A 24,934-nucleotide genomic window follows, 5' to 3' on the forward strand; every position below is an offset into this window, starting at 1 on the left:
AACTGCTGCCCTGGCCTACAGTTTGTAATCTCATGGGAGACCTGGAGACAGAACCACCCAGCCACGCATCCCCAAATCCCTTTACCTCTAAAACCTGTGGGACAACAAATGTTTATTGCGTTAAACTTTGGGGTGATTGTTATGCAGCCACAGAGTTCTAATAAACTGTCGGACATAGATTACTGGCTACAAATAGTTCTACTTTTTTTTTGAGACAGGGTCTCGTTCTGTGGAACCAGGCTGAGGTGCAGTGGTGCGATCACAGCTCATTGAGGCCTCGACCTCCGGGCTCAATCGACCCTCCCGCCTCAGCCACCCAACTAGCTGGGACTACAGGCAGGCGCCACCACACCTAATTTTTTGTATTTTTTGTAGAGATGGGGGGGGGGGTTTCACCATGTTGCCCAGGCTGGTCTCGAACTCCTGGGCTCAAACGATCCACCCGCCTCGGCCTCCCAAAGTGCTGGGATTACAGGCGTGAGCCACCGCGCCCGGCCAACCTAAGGATTAACCTAAGGCTTCTCAGAGCAGATGCCGCTGGAACTGAGGGCCACGGAAGAAAGGGGGTGACACTTGGTCCTGGGGAGTGGCGACTGTATTGTCTGTCTGCAGCATCCCTATCAGCGCTACCGTTGTTCCACGCACACAGGGAGTAAGTACTGGGAGTCCCAGCCACCGCCGCGGAAAATCTGGGATGCCAGCGAGCGGCCGCATCTCGGCGCCTGCGCACTGTGCCCGCGCTCTCAGGCAGCGCCGTTGCGCGCGGAGTCATCGATCGGCCGACCCCGAGAGGCCCGGTTCCTTTAGGCCGCCTGCCCGCCTCCAGCTCTCGGGGTCGGCTCCAGGAGGCGCCCTCAGGAGAGGGGCGGGCGCTCTATTCCAGAGACCGAGTGGCAGGGCGGCCACTGTGGCGGGGCTCTTTCCCCGTTTCGCCTCAGCTACCCCTCAGCTCCGGTAGTCGCCAGTCCGGGGTCGTCGCCGTTTGGGGCGGGAGCTGCTCGGCCCCGCCGCCGTCCCCGTCGCCGCTTCCGGGTCCAGGCCCCTCGGGCCGCCTGCCGCCGTCATGAGGCTGCGGGTGCGGCTTCTGAAGCGGACCTGGCCGCTGGAGGTGCCCGAGACGGAGCCGACGCTGGGGCATTTGCGCTCGCACCTGAGGCAGTCCCTGCTGTGCACCTGGGGGTACAGGTACGCTGGGGCCGGGGCTGGGCGGCCCGCGGGGAGTGGGGAGTGCTTGGGGTGGGTGCAGGGCGGGTTGGCGTCATCTGTGGGCTGCAGGCGCGGGCGTGGCCGGGCGATAGGCCAAGTGCGGGGACGCCGGGGGGGCCTTCACGGGAGGCCCGGGCTCTTCCGGGCGTCGCGGAGCCGGAGGGTGCAGGCGACGGGAAGCGCGGGTGGTCGGCTGGGGTCCGGCTCCTGGAGAACATGGCCCGGCCTCCCGGGGGCTCTGGTCCCCTCCTCGGTGAGTCATGGCTTCTGGTTTTGCAGTAAACGGAACCAGGGAGAGGAGGGAACGCACAATTTCCACAACTGGTTAGATTTCAAGTTGGAAATGATGAGCTTGGCTTGGGTTAAACCTTTCTGGACTGTGAGGGGTCCGAGTTAATTTCTTCAGCTGTTGGAGTATTTCAATGAAAAAGTTTGGAAATTGCTAGAAGTTAAAAATCTGCCCTCAATCCGAGGCCACCGGTAGCTTGTATCGCTGCTGTGAAGCGGCAACAATTTTAGATTCTGTTGTGTTCATGCGCCGAGCACCGCGGTGAGCGCTTGGACTTCGCCGCCGAAAAGTTTTAGAAAGGACAGCGTGTAGGCGTGTTTCAGACCATTTCATTTTCTTGGGTGAAATGTTGCTTTTTTGCTAAAACTGAGGCAAACGTTGATCTTGAGAGCTTGCAGTTTGGGGGCAGTAAAGTTGAGAAAGGATCATATTCTGTTATTGGTTTGTGGGACTGCAGGTGAAGCTGCTTTGTTTCCCTAAAAGATACTTTTTGGGGACAATAATTTGGGAGTAAAGCGGCAAGGTAAGAGTGGTCCTCTTCAAATACTGAGCTAGTGAATTTGAAACTTGAGTGTGCTAAGGAAAAATGAAAAAGATGTTCCCTGGGGATTTTTAGGTGAATTCTTCAAAACAAAAGCAAACCTTCCTACGTTTTCACCTTATTTTTAGGGAATTGGGTAAAATGAGGCCGTTATTCTGAACTTCTCGCCCTTTCATTTTCCTGGTTAAGACATTATTAGATTGAAAGTAAGCCTGTTTTCTTCCTGATTAAAAAAAAAACCCTAAATAAGATACTGACATAACTCCTTTTAAACATTATAGTAAGTGACATGCCTACTGTTATTTCTTGTTGTTAAACCTGTGTGTTTTACATACTGGCATCGTTACCAGTAGGTTACGAGTAGAAGATTGAATAAATCTTCAAACTTATTTTTTAAAGGTATTACCAAGTATATATATATTTTATTATTTTTAAATTAGGCAGTCTTGAAAGGACGTGAAACTCAATATGACTGCCCAAAAGGGCACGTTGGTTTCTCTTTCAGATTTCTTTTTACAGTTGAGGCTGGTTACCTGGACAGAATTTAAGCTTCAGCTTGTGAAAGTAAACTCATTTTTTCTGAAAGTATACTCATTTTCTAATAAAGGTGCAGTTTTAAAATATGTCCATGTGATATTATTTTAAAAATATCTTTACTGAGCAAGTGGAGCTAGGATTGTCATGAAATGCTTTTATTTGTTTTGTTTTTGTTTTTTAAGAGAAAAGTGAAAGCAAGTTTATTAAGAAAGTAAAGGAATAAAAGAATGGCTACTCCATAGGCAGAGCTGCCATGAAATACTTCTAAGAAGGCTGGAGTTTCTAGAATTTCATTTCCTGGAATTAAATACTCCTCTTAACGCCCCAATTTCAGAGGTAGAATCCTGGAAAACTATATATTACTTTAGAAATAGCTTTTCCCTTTTTCTAAAGTGGGAGGAAGAGCTGGTATATTTATTAAGCGGACCATGACCTTTTCTGCAAACAGATACTTGAACGTACCTTGTACTAGATACTGTTTTAAAAAGCAACCTTTTGCTGTGACAAATGACCCATAAACACATAGTTCATTTGAGGTGTTTTTGCTTTTTCTGCCAAAGTTGGGGTGGTGTTTTTGTGGGCAAATGGCAGATTTTCAACGTTTTGTTTATCAAAGCATTTTGAAAAGAGAAGCAGGGCCACTTGTTTTCTAGCAAACAGGAATAGCTTCTATTTCAGTAATTTTAATTTCTCTACCAAGGACACTTCAATCAGTAAGAAAAAATATATTTACGAGTGAAATAAAAACAAGAATTATTTGGAGCACTTTTCAAAATGCAGCATTGTAAGAATAAGTAAACAATATAATTTTTAAAGGACTTCATCTTTTGTTAACCTCTCAAAAAAGTAATGAAATTAGCATTGCTGAGTGTAAATGTTTTTAAAAATGTTTTATAATGTTTTGTTATTGTTCCTCACCACTGTGTGATGAAAAACATTTTATTCTTCTAATGTCAAATAATCTGTGATGCAGAAAGAATGGGAGTTTGTTGCTTCCGGGCTTATTTGAATTCTGAGCTTGTTTAACGTGGGCTTTTGGGTTTGCGCTATGTTCCACTAAAAGGCATCATAACTGATGATCAGTAGAAGGGTGAATTTAGCTTGTCATCATCAGTAAGAGAGATGAATTTATACTCAGTCATATACATAATACTCCTCTAACTTTTTGTGATTATGAATATATGGATCTGGTTTTTCGGAACCATTATAAGTAAACTGTCCTGTAAGGATATTGAATAGACATCCTTGATTTCACGCTCATCTCTTGATCTTCCCAACTAGTGTTTGGTGGTTGCATTTATTTCACAAGTACTTTATTTGCCAGTGTTGAAGATATGGTTTGAACTGTTCAGACAAGATCGCTGATCTTATGAAACTTAAGTTGTAGTGGCAGAGGTAGGGTAGACAGATCATAGACAAGTAAATACGATGTTTTCAAGTAGAACATAACAGAATAGAGAGCGCTGGAGTCTGAATGAAAGGCATCTCTGAAGAGGTGACATTTGGGCTGAGACTGGAATGATGAAGAGGAGTCAGTCATTTGAAGATCTGGAAGAACAAACGGAGAGGCCCGAAGGCTGCAATGAAGTTGATCTGCTTTTTGGAACGGATGGAAAGCTCATGTGAATAGAGAACAGTGAGAGAGGATGGATGGCACAGGATGCAGTAGGAGAAATGGGAAGAGGTCAGACGTTGAGCTTTGGAAGTTAGGTTAAGGATTCCAAATAGAAGCTATTGGAAGATTTTAAGTGAAGGAATGATGTGATCTAATTTGTATTTTAAAGGTATTTCACTGAATCTTAGTTGCTGTCACTTGTAAGACATATTGTTTTATGTAACAGCAGGGGAAAATGCTGTCAATTGATATGTCATTGATTTTAGGAAGTATCTTAATTTCAAAGATGTCAAAAAAAATTTGTGCATCTTAGAATTGAGGAAAGCATGGATTAGTGATAGAGGATTACTGTATCCCGTCCCCCAGGTGGAGAGTTTTAGCCATTAGAAATCTATAGATTAGGCATTCATTGATAAATACTTTTGATAATTTTCTCAAAACTATAAGCTTGATAGGGTAATGCGTGCCTATAGTCCTAGCTCCTCTGGAGGCTGAGGTGAGAGGATTGCTTGAGCCCAGGAATTTGAGGCTGCCATGAGCTGTGATTGTGCCACTTCACTCCAGCCTGGGCAACAGAGTGAGACTCTGTCTCTAAAAACAAACGAAAACAAAAACAAAAATGTAGCTGGACATGGTGGCTTATACCTGTAATCCCAGCAACCCAGGAGGCTGAGGCAGGAGGATTGCTTGAGGCCAGGAGCTTGAGACCAGCCTGGACAACATAGTGAGACCTTGTCTCTTCATCACTTAGTTCTTCTAGGGTCATACTGTGTACTTATGTATGCTTCAGATGTGCTATTGAAGGTATTAGAAGTAGGTAGTTCTTACTATGCTTATCTGTCTTTCTTGGCAGTTCTAATACCCGATTTACAATTACATTGAACTACAAGGATCCCCTCACTGGAGATGAAGAGACCTTGGCTTCATATGGGATTGTTTCTGGGGACTTGATATGTTTGATTCTTCAAGATGACATTCCAGCGCCTAATATACCTTCATCCACAGATTCAGAGCATTCTTCACTCCAGAATAATGAGCAACCCTCTTTGGCCACCAGCTCCAATCAGACTAGCATGCAGGATGAACAACCAAGTGATTCATTCCAAGGACAGGCAGCCCAGTCTGGTGTTTGGAATGACGACAGTATGGTGGGTATTAAACACCAATATATCAAATAGAGTAGGTGATAAGTCATATTGAACACCTCAGTTGAATTCTGTTCCAGTCAGGATAATTATCATCGATAGATTGCACATTTTATATATATTTTTTTCTTTTTTTTTTTTTTTGAGACAGAGTCTCACTCTGTCACCAGGCTGGAGTGCAGTGGCGCAATCTCTGCTCACTGCAACCTCTGCCTCCCAGTTCAAGCGATTCTCCTGCCTCAGCCTCCCGAGTAGCTGGGACTAGAGGTGCACACCACCACGCCCAGCTAATTTTTGTATTTTTAGTAGAGACGGGGTTTCAGCATGTTGGTCAGGATGGTCTCGATCTCTTGACCTCGTGATCTGCCCTCCTCGGCCTCCCAAAGTGCTGGGATTACAGGCATGAGCCACTGCGCCTGGCTGCAGATTATATTTTTATAGAATATATTTTTTTTAACTGCCAAATGCCTGTACCAATATGGGGCTGGCATCCCAAAGTACCTAGTGTCTGTCTGTTTTGTTCACATACTCTCCTTCAGATCAGTTATTCCTTGACTTCTATTATTGTTCCTAAGCTCATGATTCCTAGCCTTGCTTCTCTGATCTGGTCCGCTCATTAAGGCTATAGATGTGGTCTAATTATTTCCAGATGACTTGCAGGATATTTATACCTGGATTTTAAATTGTCATTGCAGACTTTAGATGTTGAACATAAATTTGGAAATATGTGTGCTCAGTTCCCTTCTTTGTCAGTGGCACTGCTGGTTTTCTGTGATTTTTGACTCCTTAAATCTAGCCCATTAATAAGCTTTGTCAGTTCTTCTTTTCCATTTCGGGTTCCATGGCTTTATTCCTCAGTCTGTTTTCTGGATTTGCCTTCTTCCTACATGGTTCTGATGCTATTGTTCCCTTGCTGTCTTTCATAACTCTATCTCATAAACTTGTGCTCATAATTTTTGAGCTGAAAAAGACAATATATCTCTAGTTCAACCCTGTCATTTTACAGAAGAGGAAAATGGTGTCTGTCCTCCTGTACCTAGTGCTCAAGGCTTTCTGAAAAGTTACTCCACTCAACTTTTTTAGGGCTAGTTTCTGTTCTTCCTTCCTTTAAACTGTCATCTCCAATCAGAACAGACCCATCATTTTCCCCCGCCCCCACCAACCAGCACATTCACCTGCTTGCATGCATGTGCACACACACAACCTGGTGACTACTTTTGTGACTTTGCTCTTGCTGTTCACCCAGACTGGAACCTGTTACCTTTCCTCCCTCTCTAGTCTATATTTCTACCCATCTTCCTAAGCCCTTGCCAACCATAGCCCAATAGTTTTCTTTAATTTCTTTGTATTGATTATCTGATTATCTTTATTGCCTTGTACATGCCTCCTCATTTTTCCCACCTTTTTTTTTTTTGGTGACAGGATCCCACTCCCTCACCCAGGCTGGAGTGCAGTGGCACAATCTCAGCTCACTGCAACCCTACCCTTCCGGGGTCAAGCGATTCTCCCACCTCAGCCTCCCGAGTAGTTGGGACCACAGACACCACCACGCCTGGCTAATTTTTGTATTTTTGGTAGAGATGGGGTTTCACCATGTTGCTCAGGCTGGTCTTGAACTCCTGACCTCAAGTGACCTGCCCACCTTGGCCACCCAAAGTAATGGGATTACAGATGTGAGCCACCGTGCCTGGCCTTTATCCGCCCTTTTAATTTTTTGAATGGTGCAAATGATCACCTTTATTTTTTTAATACCAATACACATGCCTTCTTGTTAATTGGTTTTTGTATGTATGCTTATCACCTCAATTTAATTGCTGGCCTTAAACATTTTTGAGTATAAGTATTCATGGTAACTTGTCATGGCATTAAGTATAGACATATTAAAAAATACTTTTTAATAGATTGGTAAATTGTGAAAATTATGTCCAGATATGTGGATTTTAATTTATTTTTAAAGTTATTGTTTTATCTGTGTGTTTCTGCCTCATAGAGGTAAACTGGGGAATGAGTAAGAATATTTCGCTGTATATTTAAATTATATTTCTGAGTCTTTTTTGCTGATAGACTTGTTCTGGGATGACTTAGTAGGGGCCATTACTTTTACTTCTGTGTACTTTTAAAGTTGTCTAGTAAGATGAAGCTTTTCACAGTATTTGTGATAGTTTGCTAGTTTCCTTTTGGAAAATTTTGAGAAATTAATGTTGCCTGAAGTTACTAATTTCAGTTCTAAGATTTTGCATATTGTTTTGTATTCCAAGACTTGTAAAGGGTGACAGGAAAATCTTTAGAGTATGGAAACTGAGCTCAAGATCTCATAAATAATGCTTTCAAGTACATCACACTCTGTAATGTAGAATGGAGCATTAGAAAAGGAAAATAGATGCGTAAAACTTGAAACCATAGGAGGTAAATTTACTCTTGTAATTAAATATCAGTTTTCTTATTTCATCATATTTGGGAATTCATCGAGTGCCTCTTGAGTCTTTAATGAGAAACGGGTAGCAGGTATCAGAACCTAATATTAGCTCTCATGCATCTTAGTCACTTGTTTTAGTCTTTTGTAAATGACATATGGCAAAATGATCTGTTTAGAGAGGTGTGGTGCTCACCTTTTTTTTTTCATTTTTACACATGTGAAGAATTTGATAAATATTCATATCAGAATAGCTCAGAGAATGTCAGTGGTTCTTATGGAGTAGTAGTAAGGCTTGACAAGCCCAGCAGGGGATTTTGATATCTCCCTCTCATGTACTCAGCCTAGGGTACCCTTTTTCATTTTTCCTCATATATTCTGTCCCACACAACTGCCAATAAGTAGTAAATGGCCAAAAGTTAGACATAGTGGTAAAGAAGCAAAACCTATGTTTCATAGTTTAGCTTGATGTTAAGTGGTTTTTAATGTAGTTGTTTCTGTTTTCTTAGGAAATATGGAAATATTTTTGTGCCATACCTCCTTTTTGGGTAATGTGACTTGTCATTGGCCTTTAGGTTTTAACAGGTGACTTTGGATCTTTTCCATAAGCCCTAGGGCTTAGGTCCTCAGAGATTTTGGAAGAACAGCTGTCACCTCCGGCTCCCCTCCATTTCTCCAACCTTTTACATATACTGTGTAATTTTAATTTCCTTTGCCCCTTCTTTAAACAAACCCTAAAAAGACGAAACGTATGCTTTGCATTAAGAGTTGGGCATATGCCTAGGAAACAAGCTTTCTGAGCAAACTTAATATAGGTAACTTAGTTTTTTTTGAAGCCATGTATTACATCTCAAAGCCCTGAACTGCAAGTTTAGAGATCTGGGTTCGTTTCAAATTTTTATTAGCTGGTAACCTTGATTATGTTATTTAATCTTTCTGATTTATAATTATAGGATCTATAAAAAGGCGATACCTGCCATGCCTATTTTATAGGATTGTTATAAAGTGCAAATAAGAAAACATTTTGAAAATAAAGACATTATGAAGTTGTAAGGTATTATCCTTCAGCATTTGTTCAGCAAACATTGAATACCTGCTATGTGCTAGGTACTTTACTGGGGTTACAAAAATGGGTGACATGTAGTCTGGTTTTTTATAAACTTGCAGTCATGGAAGGATGCAGATATGTAATCAGAAAATTGCAATACAGTGCAGTGTGATAAGGTGCAGTAATCAAGCCCGTTGCAAGGCAGAGTTGTGGTCTGTGTTACCTCTTTTGAAGAAGTGGAAAATACTGGGATGAGTAAGAAGGCACTGGCAGAAAGTGAACTTGATAATGAGTCAGAGATCAGGTAATGAAGGACTTTGTATGCTAAGGGATTTAGAAGTTTGGTCTTCATTTGTAGACCTGCATTTCTCAGTGTCCTCTGAAAATCTAGTTTCATGAGATGGTGTCACAGGGATGTTGACTGCTGAGGACGGAGGATAGTGTTTTTTGGTAAAGTGTTAGGCACACACTATTATTGTTATTAGACTCCTCAGTGCTTATATAATGCGAATAGTGTATTTTGTGAATATGGAGGGTGAAGTTAGGTGGCTGCAGCATGCAGTATTTTCCACACTTATTCCGTGTGCACCACCTTTTTTCCTAAGAACATCTAAGGCACAATTGAGGGAAATGCTGTTTATGTTGGGGAGGTACTGGTGAATTTTAAGCTGCGACATAGTACATGATCAGATTTTTAATTGTCAAGAAAATTCTGGCAGCAGGGACTGGGGTGTATTGGAAGACAAGAAAGTTGAAGAAGGGATACTTGCAACGGAAGCTCTTGCTGGATGTCGGGAAATAAATGATGAGAGTTTGAAGTGCCAATAGAGCAGGAAGGGGCAAATTTTAGACATATTTAGGAGTTAGTTTCAGGGAACTTTGAAGACTGATCAGATGTGGAACAAGGTTTAGTTAGGGAGGGAGGAGTCTAGGATGATTTCCAGGTTCTTGACATACCAGCTAGAATTAACAGAGGTAAGGAATTCAGGATGGAAGAGTAGGTCGCAGGCTTATTTATTTGTAAGGACTCACTTAAAATGTCTCCCATTTCTGAACCCAATGATGTACTTTGACTTTCAGCACTTAGTTCACTTTAGGATACAAAAATGTATAGTGTAAAAATAAGTCTTTAATTAATTCATTGTTTTGTTTTCCTTTTTCAGTTAGGGCCTAGTCAAAATTTTGAAGCTGAGTCAATTCAAGATAATGCGCATATGGCAGAGGGCACAGGTTTCTATCCCTCAGAACCCATGCTCTGTAGTGAATCGGTGGAAGGGCAAGTGCCACATTCATTAGAGACCTTGTATCAATCAGCTGACTGTTCTGATGCCAATGATGCCTTGATAGTGTTGATACATCTTCTCATGTTGGAGTCAGGTTACATACCTCAGGTAAGTACTGCAAGCAAAACACAGACATCTTATGATTGCTCATACATGTGGATGGTTCCTGCTCTCAAGTTGCCCGTAGTCTGAGAGTGGCAGAGAGAGACAAAAATATAAAGCACTGTGCTATATTGGTGAAGTTCTGGGAGAAACATACTCATATATAGGATGCCAGGAATTCATGGAGGAGAACATTTAGAATATTGCTTCTCAAACTTTAATGCGCTTTGGAATACCTGGGGACCTTATTAAAATGCAGATTCTGATTTAGTAACTGTAGAATGGACCGTGAACTTCTTCATACTCCTGCATAATACCAATGTTGCTGGTCTGTGAGCCATGTTATAAGTTACAAAGATACAGAGTAGTTCGGTGATCAGTGCACACCTGCAGCATGCCATGCACTGACCTAGAAATTAGGATATAAAAATATTGGGATATTTCTTGTCTTCAAGGAGTCCATACATAGAGGAGAGAGATGAATAAAAAGATACTCAGAAATAACACAGGTAAACATAGATAATAATACAATTGAAGTGTAATGGAAATATGAATAGAATGCTAGGGGATGAAAGGAAATGGCAAACAATTTTTCTTTGAAAAAGGCTTTACGGAGGAAGTGATATTTGAGCCGGAGTTTTAAATAATCATATGGCTTTGCTAGGAGAGAAGTGAGTCTTTGAAGAGAGAGATCAATCCCTGTTTCCATGATGCAGTTTTACCTATTTGAACAAAAATTTTGATTAAAAGTGTTCTAATATATTATCTTATACAATATGGTTATCCTACAATATAAAATATATTGGCAATGTTAATGATTTGATGCATTTTATTAAGAGGACTGTGTGGAGTGATTATTTCAAACAAGTTAGGAGTCTTTTGGATTTTTAATCTTTTTGAGAGTAACACCTTTCTTCATTATTTGTTTCCCTTTCATTTCGTTCCCCAGGGCACCGAAGCCAAAGCACTGTCCATGCCGGAGAAGTGGAAGTTGAGCGGGGTGTATAAGCTGCAGTACATGCATCCTCTCTGCGAGGGCAGCTCCGCTACTCTCACCTGTGTGCCTTTGGGAAACCTGATTGTTGTAAATGGTAATTGGATAGCATAGTCATGGTTGCTGGTTTATGGATTCTTAGACGTTTCTTTCCAAATGTTTTATAGCCACTTCAGTGATTGGCTATCATGATACAGTTGTGAGTCCTTCTCAACTGTATTTAATTCCTAGGCCACTGATAACATGTGTCTGGAAGATCATGGAATATGAGGTTGTTGAGTTGTTTAGGCCAGCACCCTTCATTCTTAGGGCATCCATTTTTTTGATGTCTTAATCTTTGTAATATTTTGCTCTGGGGGATAATATTTAATATTATCCAATATTATCAGTATTTGATAATAGGAGTGAAATGAGCCTATTACACATGAACTCCTTGGAGAATACTTTTTCTTTATGCCTGTGGATGGCTTTATTTTTTTAACGAAGGTCTTGAACTGAGACATGGGGAGCTAGACCTGGGGTCACCATTTATCCAAGTTGGCATCCCTGTGACCAGCAATGCACAACAACAATGCTAAGTTTACTGGGGCCTTAGTAAGTATGTGTTTTATTTGCTGGGCCTCCCCCAACAAATGTCACTCTGTATGAATAACTTTTCCTGTTTATTTTTCATATTAAGAAATTTCACTGGAATAGCAATGCATTCCATCTCTGTGTTTTAGTTCAGGTACCACTTTGTTTCATATCAACTCCTAGTGTTCTGTCATAATCACACATACTGGAGATCCATTTGAATGACTAGGAGCTTTCATTTTTGTTCTGTTTTGTTTTTTGAGATTTATCCTTTTAGTTAGAAAGATAGCGTGGTAAGATTGGGAGGGCTGCGTTTGTTGTTTTTTTATTCAGTATAGCTCATCTTTTTCGTTTAGCAAAGGCAGTTGCTTTGGTAAGCCTTAGGTCAAAGGTTTAGGTCAGAGGTTTTCAGTATGTTCTGTAGCTACTCCTTTCTGCTGAGATGAAAGTTAGGTAGAAGCCCTATCACCACTTAAACCTTGAGCAGCAAAATGTTTATCTGTTTCATTTATTGAAGTTCTGTGTAAGATTCTGTTTGAAAAAATGTTGGTTTTTTTTTTTCCTGCTAAAATCTATTTTGAAAGCTACTGACTCATGCCATCTTGATCTTTGACATGTTGGATAGTTCTCATTCCCCTCTTACAAAGTTTCTTTTTTCTTTTTTTTGAGACAGGGTCTTGCTCTGTCGCCCAGGCTGGAGTGCAGTAGGCAGAGCATGGATCATTGCATCCTTGACCTCCTAGGCTCAAGCAGTCTTCCTCCTTGGCCTCCTGAGTAGCTAGGACCACAGGCGTGTACCACCACACCTGGCTATTTTTTATTTTATTTTTTGTAGAGATGAAGTGTCACTGTGTTGCCCAGGCTGGTCTCAAACTCCTGGGTTTGAAGCAATATTCCTGCCTTGACTTCCCAAAGTGCTGGGATTACAGGTGTGAACCATGCCTGGCCTCTTACGAAATTTCTATTTCTTTAGTCATAAGATTCTTTGAAATGTTATTTAAAAGTCTCAAAACTAGGTTTAATAGCTTTGGTGGTACTTCACATTTGTCAGGACATGACTGTCTGATGACACTAGGACCTAGCAATGTCTATTCAGCAGTTCATCATAATTAGCAAATGTAGCTTTTACTTTGGCATTCTTGTACACAGAGTGTCAACAGTTTCTGCCTTCATCTAATCATTCTGCTACATCACATCATAACTTGCAAGGTTGGAGTTACCAAATAGTAAATGTGTAGTTGCAAATTTTGCCTTGATTTTTTATAAAAGCACTTAATGACGTGTATAATAACCTCTATTCACTAGATTCAGGATACTTAATATAAAAAGAATAACTGCTGAATGTCTTGATGATTTCCTAATTTCTGATGTTTTGTTTCTTTACTGTTCTTGGCAAATCAGCTCTTGGCAGACTTGCATGGCAGCCAGCCGTTCCAGGATTGATTCTTTGAAAAGGAGCAGTGTGTCTTTAAATCTTTCCTTCACCCAAGGCATCCTGCTTGGTGCACATGTGCATAAGCACATCACTGGGCTCTTTCATGGAATGAGATGAAGTGCGCCTTTGTATACATGATTAAAATTGAACCCTCTGGTGATGTCAAGTATATTTATCCTTTGGGTCTGGAAGAGAGATGATGCTGTGAAAACTAGCAAGATTATTTTAATGAACAAAGGAAGACTCATTGCCAAGGGTTAAATAAAAAATAAATGGAGTTTTTAGTGACTTCATTAGAAATAATGATTTTATTGTGTTTAGTTGCCTCTGATTAACCTTGTTGCATATCTTTAAGTTACTAATAAGCTGCTGCCTAGTGGATTTTATATAAAGATGCTTACTGTAGTTTTTAAAGGTGGTGTTGTAGAGTGATTTTACTTCATGTGATGCCAGGTTTACACTTTTGAACTTGCTATCAGAGAAAGAAATAGGCGAAGAACAGTTTGTTTTGTATAATGTGTCCTTAGTATATTAGGAGCTAGGAAATGCAAGCCCATACTAAAAAAGAAAGGCAGTTGATGAAGTGACAGAATTCTTTATCATCTTTCTTTTGTTTATTTACAGCTACACTAAAAATCAACAATGAGATTAGAAGTGTGAAAAGATTGCAGCTGCTACCAGAATCTTTTATTTGCAAAGAGAAACTAGGTAATACAAACATTATTTAACTTTTGGGGTGAAACTCTGTGAAATTCATATAAGAAAAAAATCTGAAAGATAATGTTCAAAAGACTGAAAATTTCTATATGAGATTAAAGCATATTGAAGACAATGTGGTTTGTTTAAGAATGCAAAGGTTTAAAAAATGTGAAAGTTTTGCTTATAATTTGAGGAGTTTGTTTCTTTCCTGTTTTTCTTAGGGTCATAGTGTGCTGAATTATATTGTTATGAGATAACACTAGTATGTAATTTATTACACTCTGATGATAGTTCATAGTTTCTGTACTAATCTTTGGAGATCTCCCTATTGAGATCTCCATATTGGTATTTAACCAATATGGAGGGGATCTGTGTTTCATGAAAGTAATTCAATGTCAAGTTCATTATTGAAGATTATTGGAGGAAAAACTACAATCAAAATGTTTGTTTAAACCTATATAAATTTGATGGCTATTTTATACAGATTGATACTTTACCAAAGGTTTGCATTCTAGGTAAGGTTTTGCTTAAACTCTATAAAATTATTAATAGATACAAAGAAGACAGGTTTTCCCTTTTATCATTTTTCAGTTAAACCAAACTGTGAGAGGCAGTTATAGGTGGTTGGAGCAGAAGAGATAAGGTGGAGAGGGGAACTGACATTTTTTAAGTGCCTGTTTCATTCTGTACTTGTGCCTGTACATATGTTATTCCATTTAATCTTCTTAGTAAACTTAGGAGGGTTTTAAGAGCCTAGTGGGAATGTTGTGGTACAATGGGAAGATGGCATTTATAGCAGTCCTTTAGGAAAGGCTGGCTAGATTGACATTGTTGCTTTGAAGGCCTAAAGGCTTATTCTTGTTCATTCCTAGGGGAGATCAGCCCTGAGAGATTGACTTATACTAACTAAAACTGACAGGAAAAGGAGATAGCAGAATACATATTTATAACGGTCTCTGATTGGATGTAGAGTCAGAAATTGGGAATTAGCTGAATTGAATTTTTTTTTTGAGACGGAGTCTTGCTCTTTCGCCAGGCTGGAGTGCCGTGGCGCTATCTCGGCTCACTTCAACTTCCACCTCCTGGGTTCAAGCAATTCTTCTGCCTCAGCCTCCTGAGTAGATGGACTACAGGCGCACACCACCACGCCCAGCCAATTTTTTTTTATTTTTAGTAGAGACAGGGTATCACCATATTGGCCAGGCTGGTCTCGAACTCCTGACCTTGTGATCTGCCCGCCTCGGCCTCCCAAAGTGCTGGGATTACAGGCATGAGCCACTGCGCCCGACCGAGTTGAACATTTAATGTCAGACTAGGCCAGAGTTTCTCAATCTTTTTATTCTCACTTCCCAAAGGAGCCGTTGGAGATTTTCCCCTCAATCTCTCTCCTTCATGAAATTTCATACCACAAATATAGTATGTTTTATTTATGTACTGTGACCCTTTGAAGGATCACAAACCAATATAATAGTTTTTCTTTTTAACCCGTCAAGGACCAGTTTTTGCCCCTGTTGGAAATGCATAAACTGGACTGATGAATTGGTATAGATGGCTTTTATCATGAGGATCAGAAAAACTTGAAATTCCTTGGCTACGACACTCCATATTTATCACCGTATAGGGAGGACCTTGTTATGGGGAGTAGAAACACTCTACACTTTACAGCAGTAGAGGTTTTATGCCCATTTTATAGATCAGGAAACAGATCTAGAGGAGGCTCACTTACTTAAGGGTCACAGAGCCAATAAATGGTGAAATACAGGATAGGAATAGATTTGGCTGACTCCCAGCCTTTTAAAACAACTTTTACAGGAATGTAGCTCAGATTGTTATTCTTTATCTGGTTTCTCTTAAATAAAGAAAAATGAAATGGAAGGGAGGAGGAACATTAAATACTGTTAAATTACAAGTTTATGGACTGTTATAATGAAGTATTTTTAATAAAGTCTTATGTTGAGTAGGAATATGCTGCTCATTTGGCAAGTCATTTTAATGAATTTTTACTGTGGTTCATAGCACCTAGTAACTATAACTAGGCACTGTTATTTATCCTTTTATTTATAAGTTCCTAATTAAATAGTTACATACCAGGTTGCTGAAGGAAAACATTCATTTAAAGAAAATCAATTTTCACATTTGAAAAAAGCCCTTGAGCCAAATTGATTTTAAAGAATGATATCTTGACAGCAAATTTCAACTCAAGATTGCAAGTCACACAACAAAGATTTAGACATTAGCTGCATATCTCTTTCCTTCTTCTTATCGATCCTGTTATACTGAGTGTTTTATTTGTTATAGATAGTGAAATACATAAATATGAAATGGGGAAGGAGCAAGCATAAATTGCCTACTGATACCCTAGGCACTGCTCGTGGAGCTTTCAATTATAACAACGCTTATCTGGTGTAGTGGTGGTGTCTCCTTTAAACAGTTGAGCAAAAAGGTGAGGATCAGAGGGGCAGGTTATTTGTCCAAGGCTATACACTTGGTAAATAGCAAAACAAGTGGGAACCTCGGCTGCAGTTTGCTAGTGCGTCCGTACTTTACTATGAGTCACCTGGGGATCTTATTAAAATATAGGTTCTGATTTGGTAGGTCTGTGGGGGCCTGAGATTCAGTAGTTCTAAACAGTTCCAGGTATTGTCAGTTCTGGTGATCTGTCGCCCACATGTTGAGTAGCAGTGTGGTGACTAAAAATGAGTGCTTTTGAGCCACACGGACTTGGGTTTGTGCACTGTTCTGCCACTAACCATGGGGCCTTGGACAGGCTTTCTGTACCTTGACCTGTTTTTAAAATGGAGATAGTAATTAGGAAAGAACTTCTGATGTGAAAGCTTGAAAAACGCTTGACACAGGTGCTGATACATAGTCATCATGCGATAAATGCTATTAATTTACCAGGTTCTAAGCGTTAACAGGAGCAGTTCTCCACTGTATCCTTAGTGCCCAGAACAGATTGATAGCTATCAGGAAATCTTCGTATGTATGAATCTCTCACAAGTCTTTTCTACAACTGCAGCCTATGAGCTAGAGAGGTTGGGCACAGCTCTACTAATTTGATATCATGGAATTTTTAGCTTTTATATCTAAGATTCAGTTTCATCAAGTCTTGCACTGTACTTCTTCCATGAGGGAATTTGGTTCATGCTTATCTTTGTGAATTATTTGTGAATATTTATTCACCATGTTGATTGGGTTTGGCAGAAATAGAGGACAGTTTTTTCACTTGATTTTGGGTTTTGATTTTACTTTAAAAAATATTCTAGGGGAAAATGTAGCCAACATATACAAAGATCTTCAGAAACTCTCTCGCCTCTTTAAAGACCAGCTGGTGTATCCTCTTCTGGCTTTTACCCGACAAGGTAAGAGATGAAATACTGTCACAATTTAAATGACTGTAAAGAATAGTAAGTATACTTAATATTCTTGGTGAGTATGACATCTGACTGCCCTCTTTTCTGCTCCTGGCGAAATGTTCCTCTTCTAAGACTAAGCTTAATATTCCTTAAGTGCTATTTACTTTATCTTTGTATCTCCATGCCATTTTGTACATATTTTTATTGTAGTCTCTTTTCCATGGACTATAATTGTTGATATGATTTCTTTCCACCTAAGGTTGGGAATACCTTGAAGGTAGGGAATATATCTTACTTTTGTATTCTTGTGGTCTAGCATGAGGTCAGGTACATAATAGATGCTCTTTCTCTCTGTGTAGATACATATATATATGTCTATATAGACATATATTTAGATATATATGTCTATATAGACATATATTTAGATATATATGTCTATATAGACATATATAAATAATACATGGTCTGTAATTGGATCTAAGTTTTTTTTTTTAAACCATTTATTGGAGGCTCTTTGCAGGCACTTAGTTGGATATTTCACATGCATTCTTATTTACTGCTAATGACTTCGAAGTAAATTATGTGGTACTTATTTTATAGATGATGAAATCATAATTCAATAAGGTTTATAATTCACTCGAGATCCTTATATTAGCTTCTCATTTTTTTGCAGTTAAAAAAATTAAAATCTCAGTGTCTTACAGTGAAATTTACTTCTCACTCGTGTACATGTTGTGTGTGGGTTTGCTTTGGCTGAAGGAGTTGTCTTTATCCAGGACATGCTCCTCTTGTAGTAGAAGGAAAGGAGTGCCAGTGGCCCAATTATGTGTTGGTTCAACGCTTTTGCCCAGAAATTATATATGTCACTTCCACTCACGTTTTGTCAGAAAAAATAAGACAAAAATGGCCAAGCCTGATGGTGGTGGGATGGGGAAGTATAATTATGCGTAGGAAGTGATTGAGAACCATAATACAATCTACCACAATTCTCCAACTAGTAGGTAGTTTGACTTATATGAATAGATAGTGGCTTTTATTTGCTCTCTATATGTAGAGAAATAAGTAAAACGTTTTTGGTGTCAAGTTGAATGGTGGCATGTCTATTATTACAGTAGTCTTCTCTGTAGTTGGTGATAAGGGAAAGGGAGTAATGCCAATTGAAAAACATGTAGATATGTCTGTTGGATTTTGATTATTTTTGCTAGTGGAGAATAGTATCACAAATATTTTGAAGGTGCTAATAACCAAAACATAATTTTCATTGAACTTGGGACATATTATTTTTCCTTTCCTTTCTTGGCTTTGTTTCTGAATTTATCTATCTCTTTTTAGCCTGCTAGACTTCAGATAATAGTAATTTGCTAACACTTGAGTGCTTATGCTTGGTGTGCCAAACATTGTTCTAAGCACTTAATATGTGTTAATACATTTACTTCTCACAACTCATTGAAGTAGGTGGAATGTAATATTAATCCATTTTACAGATGAAATTAAGATAGCATTTAAATAACTTGTCCAAAGGCACACAGTTAATAACTGGCATGGAAACAGATATAAAAGCCAGTGAATTATTCATTTTCTGTAGTTGAATGAAGAAATTTTGTTGTATTGAATAATGTTTGAGACAGAAGAGACCATTGGCTAGTATTTAGCAATTATCATAGTTATTTGATTTATATTAAAAAGCATTTGTCTTTCCACTAAAACATAAAGGGAATAAGGGCCTAGAGTTATATGAGTTAATAGTAATTATAGTCAAGCTGGGGTTAAAAATTTGTTGTAGATGATGCATACTTGGGGATAATTAAGAGTACCATCTAATTTTCTGTCACTTTAGAAAGGAACAAGTGGCAACTTTGTTGACTATGTGGAGAAAGCCAGATGTTCTTTACTCAGTAATACCTGTTACTTCTCTTTTTTTCCTTTTAGCACTGAACCTACCAGATGTATTTGGGTTGGTCGTCCTCCCATTGGAACTGAAACTACGGATCTTCCGACTTCTGGATGTTCGTTCCGTCTTGTCTTTGTCTGCGGTTTGTCGTGACCTCTTTACTGCTTCAAATGACCCACTCCTGTGGAGGTTTTTATATCTGCGTGATTTTCGAGGTGATTTCCGTAATGACATATTCACAAGAAAGGGCTCTTATTGTCTTGATTACTCAGCTCACCAAAAGTTTTTAGTTGTAGGATTTTTCTGTTGCAAATGATTACAATAAATAGCCTTAAAGAGACTGACTCTAAGCTTCATATACCTGTGCCTGTGTCCCTAAAACTCTCTCATTTTTGTGTTTTGCACAACACAAATCACTCATTAGACTAAGAAGATTATTTCAGGATAGAGAAATGGAAGTAAAACAGGCTTATTTTCTCACTAGAGACCATAGTCAGTATCTGACGTAGAAACGAGCTGGCATTTCTGAACTGCTTTCATGGTTGAGACCAATGTGTAAGTTAGGAGAGTTTTGTTGACCTGTTCCAAGTTGCTAGGGTAGCTTTATTTCTGTATGGTCACATTATGGTGACCTGGTAATTATTTTGGCAGTGATGATGGTAGAACTTGTGCATCAGGATTTCCTGCTACAAGGCCAAAAGCCTGATTGTGGAACTTTTTTTTCTGCTACCACCATTTTACTACATATTAGTGTTTTCAGAATGTTTGACCCTGGGGTGGGTCATGAAATCCATTTAATGGGTCATGTTACAAAAAAACAAAACCCACAATGGAAAAATCCATATTTATTTTATAAATAGTATTCCTATTTATAAAATAGGAGTAAACTTCTATTTCAATTATGTATAGGTAGGTGTATACTGTGTTGCAATGTAAAATTTTTATGTGGTTCACATAAATGTTTGAATGATACTGCTATATGTGATGTTAACACATACCACCTTAGTAACTGTAAAAATGTGGTGGGTAGATAGCTCCCTTAAAAAAAAAAAAAAAAAAAAGAATATCATGTAGAGTCATTTGGATTGCTAAAATTTTTTTTTCTTTTAAAATTTCAAAATGTGAGAAGTGTAAATGACCTGGTTTGTTCCTTTTCTTCTTCTTTGATTCCTGAGGTCCTCTTTCTGCTTTATTTATGCCCCTGAATTTGACATTTAAAATGTTATTTTGTCACAATTGGCAGCAAGAAAGCATCATCTCAAAAAATAATTCAATTTTATTTATTTGTGTATTTTTGAGACAGGGTCTAGTTGTGTTGCCCTGGAGTGCAGTGGCGCAGTCATAGCTCACTGCCACCCCCAACTCCTGGGCTCAAGTGATCCTCCCTCCTCAGCCTCATAAGTAGCTGAGAACTGTAGGCATGCGCCCCCACACCTGGCCAATTTTTGTTTGTTTGTTTGTTTGTTTTTAGTGGAGACAAAGTCTTGCAGTGTTGCTCAGGCTGGTCTCCAACTCAAAAAAGAATTGAAAATATAGTAAAAAAAGAAAAGACAGAATGACTGATGTATATGGAAGCACCGAGAAAAAGCAGAGTATGATATAAATACTTATAAAAGCAACAAATACCCTTTCACTTGTATATTCAAGTTTAGGATTAAAGCACAATTATTCTTTAATTTTTAGATTGTGGCCCACAAGCTCATTTGTAAGCTGTTCAGATTTTTCTGTAGATAAAATGTTACGGAGCTAGAGCTTTTATAAATCTTACTTCCATGCTAATGTAGTAACTTGTAGAGAAGATATCATCTTTTATTCAAACTCTTTTGTATACTTAAAGTTGAATGGGTTTCTCTTTCCTCATTTCACATATTTCAAATAAATAAGTACATTAAAAAATACTTAGTTATGGTCATGCTTCTGATAGCCGAGTCATTCAGGACATCGTTGGGAGAAAGTAGTGTAACCAGAATATGGATGAAAGCCTAAGTCAGCTTGACCTCCAGTAATGAACGTGGGCTGTAACACAGAAGCTCAGAGGTTGTTGCCCAGTTTGGTGTAACGTGAGATGTTGGATTAGAAGCAGGTGACACACCTAAATGAGATTAGGGGGAGAAGAGGTAGTGTAGGACCAGTTAATGCAGGAAGAGAGTAGCCACATGTTCCTCCATAGTCCCTGAGGAATCACACTGCATTGAATTACCATGTAGCACAGAGCAGCAATGATCACCCTTAACCATCAATAAAGTGTTTGAATTAGATAAGAAAGTACAAATGATATAGTGTGTGTTATATAAATGGTTAGTTTTTTTTTTTTTTTATGCTTAACGGGTAAGTTTCACTTTTCTTAGGAGAAAAACAAAACCCACTGTTTAATGCAGGACGAATGAAATGTTTTTAAATCCTTATTTTTCCCTTTTCCTTTGTAGACAATACTGTCAGAGTTCAAGACACAGATTGGAAAGAAGTAGGTATTTTTAAATATTAAGACTAATGTCCATAACACAGAAATGACTAGTGAATTAATATATTAAGGGTATATTTTCACTTTTATATGATGTAGTGAAATCTGTTTTAATTTATTGCTAAATTTCAGTAAATGAAAATGTTTTCAACTTTTACTTTAGACTCAATCCTTATTATAATTATATGGAAAAAAATGTTATCATTGTGTTATTTTTCATCTTTATTATAAAACATTCTTTTTTGCAACAAAATTTAAATGAGTTGTCTGTGCTGGAGTAGTCATCAGCTGTTCAGCTAGTTAAGATAGTACCTTATGAAAAGAATATATTGTATTGTTTCATAAGGTACTATTCTAATGTCTCTATAACAAAAACTGCAAGGTGGAGCAGCAAGTGCTGATGGAAAAGCTGCTGCAAGTTATCCAGAAGATGTAGCTAAAATCACTGATGAAGGTGGCTGCATTACACAACAGATTTTCAGTGTAGGTGAGACAGCTTTCTATTGGAAGAAGACGCCATCTATTTCATAGCTAGAGAGAAGTAGTCAGTGCCCAGCTTCAAAGGACAGGCTGACTCTTTTGTTAGGGGCTAATGCAGTTGGTGATTTTTGAAGCCAGTGCTTGTTGACCATTCTGAAAATCCTAGGGCCCTTAACAATTATGCTAAATCAGGCCGGGTGTGGTGGCTCACGCCTGTAATCCCAGCACTTTGGGAGGCCGAAGTGGGCGGATCACCTGAGGTCAGGAGTTGGAGACCATCTTGGCTAACACGGTGAAACCCTGTCTCTACTAAAAATACAAAAAATTAGCCGGATGTGGTGGTGTGGACCTGTAATCCCAGCTACTCAGGAGGCTGAGGCAGGAGAATCGCTTGAACCCAGGAGGTGGAGGTTGCAGTGAGCCAAGATCGCTCCATTGCACTCCAGCCCAGGAGACAGTGTGAGACTCTGTCTCAAAAAACAAACAAAAAAACAACAAAAAAAGGAATTATGCTAAATCTGTGCCTTTGCTCTGTAAATGGAACAACAAAGCCTGGATGACAGTACATCATTTATGGCATGGTTTACTGAATATTTCAAGTCCACTATTGAGGCCTACTGCTTATAAAAAATACTCCTTTTAAAATACTACTGCTCATTGACAATGCAGCCAGTCATCCCAGAGCTCTGATGGAGATGTTCAAGGAGATTAACGTTTTCATGTCAGCAAACAACTGCATTCTGAAGCTCATGGATCAAGGAATAATTTTGACTTTGAATCTTATTATTTAAGAAATACATTTTGTCAGGCCATAGTTGCCAGAGATGGTGATTCCTCTGATGGATCTGGACAAAGGAAATTGAAAACCTTTTGGAAAGGATTTAGCCTTCTAGATGCCATTAAGCATACTGAGGATTCATGGGGGAGATAAAAATATCAACAGGAGTTTGGAAGTTGATTCCAATCCTCGTGGATGACTTTGAGGGGTTCAAGACTTCAGTGGAGGAAGTGCAGATGTGATGGACCTAGCAAGAGAGCTAGAATTAGAAGTGGAGCCTGAAGATGGGACTGAATTGCTGCAGTCTCACAGTCAAACTTGAATGGATGAGAACTTGCTTCTTACGGATAAAGAGAGAAAGTGGTTTCTTTTTTTAAAAAAATGTCAATAGTTTTTGGGGTACAGGTGGTTTTTGGTTGCATAGATGAGTTCTTTAGTGGTGATTTCTGAGATTTTAGTGCACCCGTCACCCAAGCAGTGTACAACTGTACCCAATATGTAGTCTTTTAGCCGTCACCTCCCTCCCAGCCTTTCCCCCTAAGTCCCCAAAGTCCATTATGTCATTCTTATGCCTTTGCATCCTCATAGGTTAGGTCTCACAAGATTTGGTTTTCCATTCTAGAGTTACTTCACTTAAAATAATGGCCTCCAGCTGCATCCAAGTTGCTGCAAAAGACATTATTTCATTCCTTTTTATGGCTGAGTAGTATTCCATGGTGTATATATGCCACATTTTCTTTATCAGTGGTTTCTTGGAATGGAATCTATTCCTGGACAACAAAGGATTTCGAATATTACATAAATTTAGTTGACAAAACAGAAGCAAGGTTTGAGAAGGTTGACTCTGATTTTGAAAGTTTTACTGTGGGTAAAATGCCATCAAACAGCATCGCATGTACAGAGAAATCTTTCATGAAAGGAAGAGTGAGTCAATGTGACAAACTTCACTGTTGTATTATTTTAAGAAATTGCCACAGCCACTTCAGCCTTTAGCAACCAGCACCCTGATCTGTCAGCAGCAACGAACATGGAGGCAAGACCCTCTATTAGCAAAAAGATTGCAACTTGCTAAAGGCTCAGGTGATTGTTAGCATATTTTTAAATTAAGGTATGTACATTGTCTTTTTAGATACAATGCTATTGCACACTTACTATAGTGTAAACATAGCATAGCATTTATATACACTGGGAAACCAAAAAAATTTGTGTGACTTGGTTTATTGCATTGGTTTGGGACTAAATCCACAATATGTCTGAGGTGTGCCTATAGATCTTTACTATGAAAGCAAATTAGAACTAAAGGGAAACATCCAGATCACTTACCTTATCTTGTTCTTTTATTTTTCTTTTTTCTACAGCTGTACAGGAAGAGGCACATACAAAGAAAAGAATCCCCGAAAGGGCGGTTTGTGATGCTCCTGCCATCGTCAACTCACACCATTCCATTCTATCCCAACCCCTTGCACCCTAGGCCATTTCCTAGCTCCCGCCTTCCTCCAGGAATTATCGGGGGTGAATATGACCAAAGACCAACACTTCCCTATGTTGGAGACCCAATCAGTTCACTCATTCCTGGTCCTGGGGAGACGCCCAGCCAGTTTCCTCCACTGAGACCACGCTTTGATCCAGTTGGCCCACTTCCAGGACCTAACCCCATCTTGCCAGGGCGAGGCGGCCCCAATGACAGATTTCCCTTTAGACCCAGCAGGGGTCGGCCAACTGATGGCCGGCTGTCATTCATGTGATTGATTTGTAATTTCATTTCTGGAGCTCCATTTGTTTTTGTTTCTAAACTACAGATGTCAACTCCTTGGGGTGCTGATCTCGAGTGTTATTTTCTGATTGTGGTGTTGAGAGTTGCACTCCCAGAAACCTTTTAAGAGATACATTTATAGCCCTAGGGGTGGTATGACCCAAAGGTTCCTCTGTGACAAGGTTGGCCTTGGGAATAGTTGGCTGCCAATCTCCCTGCTCTTGGTTCTCCTCTAGATTGAAGTTTGTTTTCTGATGCTGTTCTTACCAGATTAAAAAAAAGTGTAAATTACATGGTGGTCTTGACTTTTATTACAGAAAGATATGTAGTAAATA

The 24,934-nt window shown here is 39.3% G+C and overlaps 1 protein-coding gene across 3 annotated transcripts, besides 9 other annotated features; it reads left to right on the forward strand.

The window, feature by feature from the left end:
* Positions 632 to 1,132: an enhancer, noted in NCBI's record as "H3K27ac hESC enhancer chr22:32870558-32871058 (GRCh37/hg19 assembly coordinates)". NCBI's record gives its function as "activates a minimal SCP1, AML or CMV promoter by ChIP-STARR-seq in primed H9 embryonic stem cells {active_cell/tissue: H9 hESC(primed)}" and the evidence as "EXISTENCE:reporter gene assay evidence [ECO:0000049][PMID:30033119]".
* Positions 632 to 1,142: a biological region, named in NCBI's record as "H3K27ac hESC enhancer GRCh37_chr22:32870558-32871058".
* Positions 795 to 964: an enhancer, noted in NCBI's record as "experimental_63231 CRE fragment used in MPRA reporter constructs". NCBI's record gives its function as "activates a minimal promoter by MPRAs in K562 erythroleukemia cells, with activity observed for both the introgressed and non-introgressed 22:32870806 variant alleles {active_cell/tissue: K562}" and the evidence as "EXISTENCE:reporter gene assay evidence [ECO:0000049][PMID:34662402]".
* On the forward strand, positions 872 to 24,890 carry FBXO7 (F-box protein 7). Of its 3 annotated transcripts, none has more exons than NM_012179.4 (9): positions 872 to 1,185; positions 5,042 to 5,336; positions 9,958 to 10,185; positions 11,129 to 11,270; positions 13,806 to 13,889; positions 17,147 to 17,242; positions 19,166 to 19,342; positions 21,554 to 21,591; positions 24,205 to 24,890. In NM_012179.4, exons 1-9 carry the CDS (start codon positions 1,064 to 1,066, stop codon positions 24,589 to 24,591), a joined length of 1,569 nt encoding a protein of 522 aa, NP_036311.3. In that variant the 5' UTR covers positions 872 to 1,063; the 3' UTR covers positions 24,592 to 24,890. The 3 variants fall into 3 exon arrangements, with proteins under 3 accessions (NP_036311.3, NP_001244919.1, NP_001028196.1); NM_001257990.2 differs by lacking the exon at positions 872 to 1,185 and adding an exon at positions 1,329 to 1,459; NM_001033024.2 differs by lacking the exon at positions 872 to 1,185 and adding an exon at positions 1,329 to 1,459 and having other exon boundaries at positions 5,194 to 5,336.
* Positions 953 to 1,142: a silencer, noted in NCBI's record as "silent region_13643". NCBI's record gives its function as "represses an Ori minimal core promoter by ATAC-STARR-seq in GM12878 lymphoblastoid cells {active_cell/tissue: GM12878}" and the evidence as "EXISTENCE:reporter gene assay evidence [ECO:0000049][PMID:35858748]".
* Positions 1,133 to 1,633: an enhancer, noted in NCBI's record as "H3K27ac hESC enhancer chr22:32871059-32871559 (GRCh37/hg19 assembly coordinates)". NCBI's record gives its function as "activates a minimal SCP1, AML or CMV promoter by ChIP-STARR-seq in primed H9 embryonic stem cells {active_cell/tissue: H9 hESC(primed)}" and the evidence as "EXISTENCE:reporter gene assay evidence [ECO:0000049][PMID:30033119]".
* Positions 1,153 to 1,462: a silencer, noted in NCBI's record as "silent region_13644". NCBI's record gives its function as "represses an Ori minimal core promoter by ATAC-STARR-seq in GM12878 lymphoblastoid cells {active_cell/tissue: GM12878}" and the evidence as "EXISTENCE:reporter gene assay evidence [ECO:0000049][PMID:35858748]".
* Positions 1,219 to 1,388: an enhancer, noted in NCBI's record as "experimental_63233 CRE fragment used in MPRA reporter constructs". NCBI's record gives its function as "activates a minimal promoter by MPRAs in K562 erythroleukemia cells, with activity observed for both the introgressed and non-introgressed 22:32871230 variant alleles {active_cell/tissue: K562}" and the evidence as "EXISTENCE:reporter gene assay evidence [ECO:0000049][PMID:34662402]".
* Positions 11,570 to 11,739: an enhancer, noted in NCBI's record as "experimental_63238 CRE fragment used in MPRA reporter constructs". NCBI's record gives its function as "activates a minimal promoter by MPRAs in K562 erythroleukemia cells, with activity observed for both the introgressed and non-introgressed 22:32881581 variant alleles {active_cell/tissue: K562}" and the evidence as "EXISTENCE:reporter gene assay evidence [ECO:0000049][PMID:34662402]".
* Positions 14,867 to 15,036: an enhancer, noted in NCBI's record as "experimental_63240 CRE fragment used in MPRA reporter constructs". NCBI's record gives its function as "activates a minimal promoter by MPRAs in K562 erythroleukemia cells, with activity observed for both the introgressed and non-introgressed 22:32884878 variant alleles {active_cell/tissue: K562}" and the evidence as "EXISTENCE:reporter gene assay evidence [ECO:0000049][PMID:34662402]".

The sequence above is a fragment of the Homo sapiens genome, chromosome 22 (genome assembly GCF_000001405.40).
Source record: "Homo sapiens chromosome 22, GRCh38.p14 Primary Assembly".
In the NCBI taxonomy this organism is placed as follows: domain Eukaryota; kingdom Metazoa; phylum Chordata; class Mammalia; order Primates; family Hominidae; genus Homo; species Homo sapiens.